Genomic DNA, 8,131 nt, shown 5'->3' on the forward strand with positions numbered 1-8,131 from the left:
TTCTAGTTATACATTCTTCTAAATTTTTTTCAAAGTTTTCAACTTCTTTGCCTTTGGTTTGAATGTCCTCCCGTAGCTCAGAGTAATTTGATCGTCTGAAGCCTTCTTCTCTCAGCTCGTCAAAGTCATTCTCCATCCAGCTTTGTTCCGTTGCTGGTGAGGAACTGCATTCCTTTGGAGGAGGAGAGGCGCTCTGCGTTTTAGAGTTTCCCGTTTTTCTGTTCTGTTTTTTCCCCATCTTTGTGGTTTCATCTACTTTTGGTCTTTGATGATGGTGATGTACAGATGGGTTTTCGGTGTGGATGTCCTTTCTGTTTGTTAGTTTTCCTTCTAACAGACAGGACCCTCAGCTGCAGGTCTGTTGGAATACCCTGCAGTGTGAGGTGTCAGTGTGCCCCTGCTGGGGGGTGCCTCCCAGTTAGGCTGCTCGGGGGTCAGGGGTCAGGGACCCACTTGAGGAGGCAGTCTGCCGGGTCTCAGATCTCCAGCTGCGTGCTGGGAGAACCACTGCTCTCTTCAAAGCTGTCAGACAGGGACATTTAGGTCTGCAGAGGTTACTGCTGTCTTTTTGTTTGTCTGTGCCCTGCCCCCAGAGGTGGAGCCTACAAAGGCAGGCAGGCCTCCTTGAGCTGTGGTGGGCTCCACCCAGTTGGAGCTTCCCGGCTGCTTTGTTTACCTAAGCAAGCCTGGGCAATGGCGGACGCCCCTCCCCCAGCCTTGCTGCCGCCTTGCAGTTTGATCTCAGACTGCTGTGCTAGCAATCAGCGAGATTCCGTGGGCGTAGGACCCTCCGAGCCAGGTGCCGGATATAATCTCGTGGTGTGCCGTTTTTTAAGCCGGTCTGAAAAGCGCAATATTCGGGTGGGAGTGACCCGATTTTCCAGGTGCGTCTGTCACCCCTTTCTTTGACTCAGAAAGGGAACTCCCTGACCCCTGCACTTCCCAAGTGAGGCAATGCCTGGCCCTGCTTTGGCTCGCGCACGGTGCGCTCACCCACTGGCCTGTGCCCACTGTCTGGCACTCCCTAGTGAGATGAACCCGGTACCTCAGATGGAAATGCAGAAATCACCCGTCTTCTGCGTCGCTCACGCTGGGAGCTGTAGACCGGAGCTGTTCCTATTCGGCCATCTTGGCTCCTCCTGAACTCATCCTTCTTTATGGCTGCTTAGTATTCCATGGTATAGATGTGCCAAATTTTCTTTATCCAGGCTATCATTAATGCGCATTAGGGTTGGTTCCAAGTCTTTGCTATTGTCAACAGTGTCACAATAAACATACATGTGCATGTGTCTTTATATTAGAATGATTTATAATCCTTTGGGTATATACCCAGTATTGGGATTTCTGGGTCAAATTGTATTTCTAGTTCTAGATCCTTGAGGAATCGCCACACTGTCTTCCACAATGGTTGAACTAATTTGCACTCCCAACAGTGTAAAAGTATTCCTATTTCTCCACATCCTCTCCAGCATCTGTTGTTTCCTGACTTCTTAATGACTGCCATTATAACAGGTGTGAGATGGTATCTCAATGTGGTTTTGATTTGCATTTCTCTAATGACCAGTGATGATGAGCCTTTTTTCATGTCTGTTGGCTGCATAAATGTCTTCTTTTGAGGAGTGTCTGTTCATATCCTTCACCCACTTTTTGATAGGGGTGTTTCTTTTTTTCTTATAAATTTGTTTAAGTTCTTTGTAGATTCTAGATATTAGCCCTTTGTCAGATGGATAGACTGCAAAAAATTTCTCCCATTCTGTAAGCTGCATGTTCACTCTGATGATAGTTTCTTTTGCTATACAGAAGCTCTTTGGATTAATTAGATCCCATTTGTCTATCTTGGCATTTGTTGCCATTGCTTTCAGTGTTTTAGTCATGAAGTCTTTTCCCATGCCTATGTCCTGAATGGTATTGCCTAGGTTTTCTTCTAGGGTTTTTTGTGGTTTTAGGTCTTACATTTAAGTCTTTGATCCATCTTGAGTTAATTTTTGTATAAGGTGTAAGGAAGGGATCCAGTTTCAGCTTTCTGTATATGGCTAGCCAGTCTTCCCAACACCATTTATTAAATAGGAAATCCGTTCCCCATTGCTCGTTTTTGTCAGGTTTGTTAAAGATCAAATGGTTGTAGATGTGTGGTGTTATTTCTGAGGTCTCTGTTCTGTTCCATTGGTCTATATCTCTGTTTTGGTACCAGTACCATGCTGTTTTGGTTACTGTAGCCTTGTAGTATAGTTAGAAGTCAGGTAGCGTGATGCCTCCAGTTTTGCTCTTTTTGCTTAGGATTGTCTTGGCTATGCGGGCTCTTTTTTGGCTCTATATGAAATTTGAAGTGTCTTTTTCCAATTCGGTGAAGAAAGTCAATGGTAGCTTGATGGGGATAGCATTGAGTCTATAAATTACTTAGGGCAGTATAGCCATTTTCATGATGTTGCTTCTTCCTATCCATGAGCATGGAATGTTTTTCCATTTGTTTGTGTCCTCTCAAATTTCCTTGAGCAGTGGTTTGTAGTTCTCCTTGAAGAGGTCCTTCACATCCCTTGTAAGTTGTATCTCTAGGTAATTTATTGTCTTTGTGGCAAACATCAGAGCAGAACTGAAGGAGATAGAGACATAAAAAGCCCTTCAAAAAAAAATCAATGAATCCAGGATCTGTTTTTTTTAAAAGATCAACAAATAGACCACTAGCCAGACTAATAGAGATAAAAAGAGAGAAGAATCAAGTAGATACAGTAAAAAATGATAAAGGGGATATCACCCCCGGTCCCACAGAAATACAAACTACCATCAGAGAATACTATAAACACCACTATGCAAATAAACTAGAAAATCTAGAAGAAATGGATGAATTTCTGGACACATACACCCTCCCAAGACTAAACCAGGAAGAAGTTGAATCCCTGAATAGACCAATAACAAGTTCTGAAATTGAGGCAGCAATTAATAGCCTACCAACCAAAAAAAAAAGTCCAGGACCAGACAGATTCACAGCTGAATTCTACCAGAGGTACAAAGTGGAGCTGGTACCATTCCTTCTGAAACTATTCCAAACAATAGAAAAAGAGAGAATCCTCCCTGACTCATTTTATGAGGTCAGCATCATCCTGATACCAAAACCTGGCAGAGACATAACAAAAAAAGAAAATTTCAGTCCAATATCCCTGATGAATATCGATGTGAATATCCTCAATAAAATACTGGCAAACCAAATCCAGCAGCACATCAAAAAGCTTATCCACCATGGTCAAGTCGGCTTCATCCTTGGGATGCAAGGCTGGTTTAACATGCCCAAATCAATAAATATAATCCATCACATAAGCAGAACCAATGACAAACACCACATGATTATCTCAATAGATGCAGAAAAGGCCTTAGATAAAATTCAACAGCGCTTCATGCTAAAAACTCTCAATGAACTAGGTATTGATGGAACATAACTCAAAATAATAAGAGCTATTTAATGACAAACCCACAGCTAATATCATAGTGAATGGGCAAAAACTGGAAGCATTCCCTTTGAAAACCGGCACAAGACAAGGATGCCCTCTCTCACCACTCCTATTCAACATAGTATTGGAAGTTCCGGCCAGGGCAATCAGGCAAGAGAAAGAAATAAAAGGTATTTAATTAGGAAAAGAGGAAGTCAAATTGTCTCTGTTTGCAGATGACATGATTGTACATTTAGAAAACCCCATTGTCTCAGCCCAAAATCTCCTTAAGATTGTCAGCGGATTTTTCATTAAAACTTTGGAGGTCAGAGTGCAAGGGGTCAGTATATTGAAACTGCTAAAGGAGAAAAAAAAAAAAGCCAAGCAAAATTGTCCTTCAAATGTGACAAAGAAAATTAAGACATATTCATATGAACAAAAGCTAAAGAATTTTCTTACCACTAGACCTACTCTGCAAGAAATGCTCAAGGAAGTCCTGCAGGATGAAATGAAAAGACAATAGACAGTAATTCAAAGCCATATGAAGAAATAAAACGTACATAAACATAAATACATTGGAAATTATAAAAGCTAGTATTAATGTAACATTTATAATACCATCTTAGTTTTCTACATGATTTAAGGTACTAACGTATTTTAAAAACAATTGTCTAAAAGCTAGTACTATTGTAACTTTGGTTTATAACTTCACATTTATACTTTAAGAGAAGAATGCATTTAAAATATCACTTTATACTTTTAGACCCACAATGCATAAAGGTGTAACTTTGTGACAATAACTGAAAGTGATAGGGACAAAACAATGACAGAGCAGAGATTTTGTAAATCACTGAAGTTAAAATAGTATAATTCTAATTAAGTTATTGTAATTTTAGAATGTTAAATGTAATCTTTATGGTGACTAGAAAGAAAATACCTTAAAATACAAAAGTAAATGAAAAAGAAAGTTAAATATTTCATAACAAAAAATTAAACATAAAAAACAGGGATGCAGGAAATGAGGGACAAAGAAGTGATAAATCATATAGAAAACAAATAGCAAAATGACAGAAGTATGTCTTTCCTTATCAGTCACTACTTTAAGTGTAAATGAATCAAACTGTTTCAAATCAAAAGACAAAGACTGACAGACTAGATTTAAGAAAACATGATTCAATTTTATACTGTCTACAAGAGACTCCCTTTAGTATCAAAGACACAAATAGATTGAAAGTTGTGACATAGGTGACAACATGGATGAAGCTTGAGCACATTATGCAAAGTGAGGTAAGCCAGTCACACAAACACAAAAACTGTATGAATTCACATAAATGAGATACTTAGAGTCTTAGCTGAAATTATAGAGACAGAACGTAGAATGGTGGTTGGCAAGGGCTGGAGGGCTTAGCATGAAAAGATATTGTTTAATGGGTTAAGTTTCAGTTTTACAAGACAAAAAGTGTTAAGGAGATGGATGGTGGTTGTCTTAGTCCGTTTAGTGTTGCTATAACAGAAAACCTGAAGCTGGGAAATTTATAAAGAAAAGATTGTTTCACTCATGGTTCTTCATGTTGGGAAGTTTAAGCGCATAGTCCTGGCTTCTGGCAAGAGTCTTTCTGCTGCGTTATAACATGAGAAAGAAGATCACCTGGGAAGTGGACACATGCAAAGAGGCAAAATGCAAGGGGCATCCTGGGTTTGTTACAACCCATTCTCACAGGAACCAATCCATTATTGCAAGAACTAGTCCAGCCTCACCAGAATGTGAACATACTACCATAGGAATGGCACCAAGCCATTTATGAGGGATCTTCCCCCATGGCAAAAATACCTCCCAAGTGTCCCTACCTCCCAACACCATCATGTTGGGTATCAAATTTTAACAAAAATTGTGGTGACAACAAACCACATTTAAACCATAGCATTCTACCCCTGGCTGCCCAACACTCATGTTCTTCTCACATACAAAATACCCTCATGTTGCAGGTCTGCAGACAGCACCATGTGGAAATCTCCAAGACTTACCATCTGGGCCTCCAGAGCAGTGATCTGAGCTGTACTTGGGGCCATTTGAGCCACAGATGCTTCAGTCAGAATGGCCAGGATGCAAGGAGCACTGTTTTAGGCAGCACAGGGTGTTGGAACCATGGGCCTGTCCCCCAAAGTCATTCTGTCTTCCCAGACCCCTGTAATGGGGAGGGTAATCTCAAAGGCTTTTGAAATGCCTTTACTCCCTCTTATCTATTGCTTTGACTATTAACATCTGGTTCCCTTTTATTCATGAAATCTCTTAAGAAAGTGATTGCTCAGTTGTATCCTTTGATTTCTCCCCTGCAAATGCTCTTATTCTTTACCACATGGTCAGACTGAATTTCCCAAATCTTTATTTTCTGCTTCCCTTTTAATTATAAATTCTGCCTTTAGGTCATTTCTTTACTGCTGTAGCTGATCATAAGCCATTAAAAGTAGCAACTATATTGCTTATTGAGTACTTTGATATTTAGAAATTTCTTTCACCAGGTATTCTAGTTTGGTCTTTTACAAATCCTTAGGGCATGAACACAATGCAACCATGTTTTTTACAACTGTATAACAAGGATAACCTTTGCTCATTTTACAAATAACTACTTCTCATCTGGTCAAAATTTACCTCATATTTAGCCTTCTTCTGAGCCTGCTCCAGCATCACCCTTAATGCTTTATTCATAACAATACAGTCTTTTTTCTGGCCGGATCCTCCAAACTTTTCTAACCTCTACCCATTACCCAGTTCCTAAGACATTTCCACATTTTCAAGTTATCTGTATAGCAATACCCACTCCTTGGCACCAATTTTATGCTTTTGTCAATTTTGTGTTTCTATAGTAGAATGCTTAAAGCTGGGTAATTTATAAAGAAAACAGAATTATCTATCTCACAGTTCTGCAGGATGGGAAGTTCAAAGACATGGCCCTGGCTTCTGGTAAGAGCTTTTGTGCTATCTCATAACATGGCGGAGAAGATCAAAGGGGAAGTGGACACATGCAAAGAAGCAAAACACAAAAAGTGTCCTGGCTTTATAACAACCCACTCTCACAGAAATTACTCCATTTTTACAAGAACTAATCTAGTCTTGCCAGAGTAAGAATGCACTACCGGCCAGGTGCAGTGGCTCACGCCTGTAATCCCAGCACTGTAATCCCAGGCCGAGGCAGGTAGATCACTTGAGGTCAGGAGTTTGAGATCAGCCTGGGCAACATGGCGAAACCCCATCTCTACTAAAAATACAAAATAAAAAACATTAGCAGGGCATGGTGGCATGCACCTGTAATCCCAGCTACTCAGGAGGCTGAAGCAGGAGAATTCCTTGAACCTGGGAGGCAGAGGTTGCAGTGAGCCGAGATTGCACCACTACACTCCAGCCTGGGTGACAGAGTGAGACTTCATCTCAAAAAAAAAAAAAGAAAAATGCACATGAAAATAATAACAAGTCATTTATGAAGGACCAACTCCCATGACCCAAGCACCTTTTACTTGGCCTCACTTCCCATCACTACAACACTAGGGATAGAATTTTAACATGAATTTTGAGGGGAGAAATTTATTCAAAAACTATAGTAGTGGTGATAGCTGCACAATATTATGAATGTATTTAATACCACCGACATATAAACTTTTAATATGATTCCAATTGTACATTTTATGTTATGTGTATTTTACTACAATTTTATAAATTTGGAAAAAAAGGCAATCATAAAAGCAGTGTCAGAAGAGACTCCTCATGTTCATGTACAAGGATTCTCAATAATATTTAAAGTTGTTAAAAAATTGTCAACTAAGAATTCTATGCCTCATAATTTCTTATAAGATACGCTTAAAAGTTGAGGGAGCTTGTTAGCACTAGACTTCTCCTGTAAGAAATGACAAAGGGAGTCCTGCAAGTTAAAATGAAAGTCACTAGACAGTAAGTCAAAGCCACATGAATAAATAAAATTCTGGCAAAGGCAAATACATAAATAAATACATAAGTAATAAAATACTTTTATTTTATTAAAAATAAAAGATATTATATTTTTGATTTCTAATTACATTTTTCATTTTCTACAGAATTTAAAAGGCAAACTTATGAAAATAATTATAAATCTATGGTGTTGTCCACACAATATATTCAAAAGCCATTTGTGACAATATACAGGGAAATGGGGAAGATTAAGCTGTATAGGAGCAGAAATTCCCCATGCTACTGAAGTTAAATTGAGAGCAATTAAATTGTATGTTATAAATTATAATGTTAAATGTAATCTCCATAGTATACATTAAGACAATATTCAAAATAAATATATGAAAGAAAATGAGAAAGGAATCAAACTACAAAAAAATCAACTAAACACAAAAGAAGATAGTGTTCTTAGTTCATTTGGGCTGCTATAACAAAAATATTTTAGATGGGGTAATCTATAAACAAAAGATTTTTCCACAGTTCTGGAAAGCAGAAAGTCTGTGATCAAGGCACCAGCAGATTAGGTGTCTGGTGAGGGCTTGCTCTCTGCCTCAAAGTGGTACTCTCTTCTTGTATCCTCACATGGCAGAAGGGCCAAATGCTGTACCCTCAGATGGCAAAATGAGCAAAGCAGTCCATGAAATGTCTTTTATAAGAGCACAAATTTCATTCATAAAATTTGCTCTCTCGGGCATCCTTTAAAATTTAGGTGGAAGTAGCCACACCCCTA

General features: G+C 39.0%; 1 annotated feature.

The window, feature by feature from the left end:
- Positions 371–880: an enhancer, noted in NCBI's record as "H3K27ac-H3K4me1 hESC enhancer chr2:186711714-186712223 (GRCh37/hg19 assembly coordinates)". NCBI's record gives its function as "activates a minimal SCP1, AML or CMV promoter by ChIP-STARR-seq in naive H9 embryonic stem cells {active_cell/tissue: H9 hESC(naive)}" and the evidence as "EXISTENCE:reporter gene assay evidence [ECO:0000049][PMID:30033119]".

The sequence above is a fragment of the Homo sapiens genome, chromosome 2 (genome assembly GCF_000001405.40).
Source record: "Homo sapiens chromosome 2, GRCh38.p14 Primary Assembly".
NCBI classification, from domain to species: domain Eukaryota; kingdom Metazoa; phylum Chordata; class Mammalia; order Primates; family Hominidae; genus Homo; species Homo sapiens.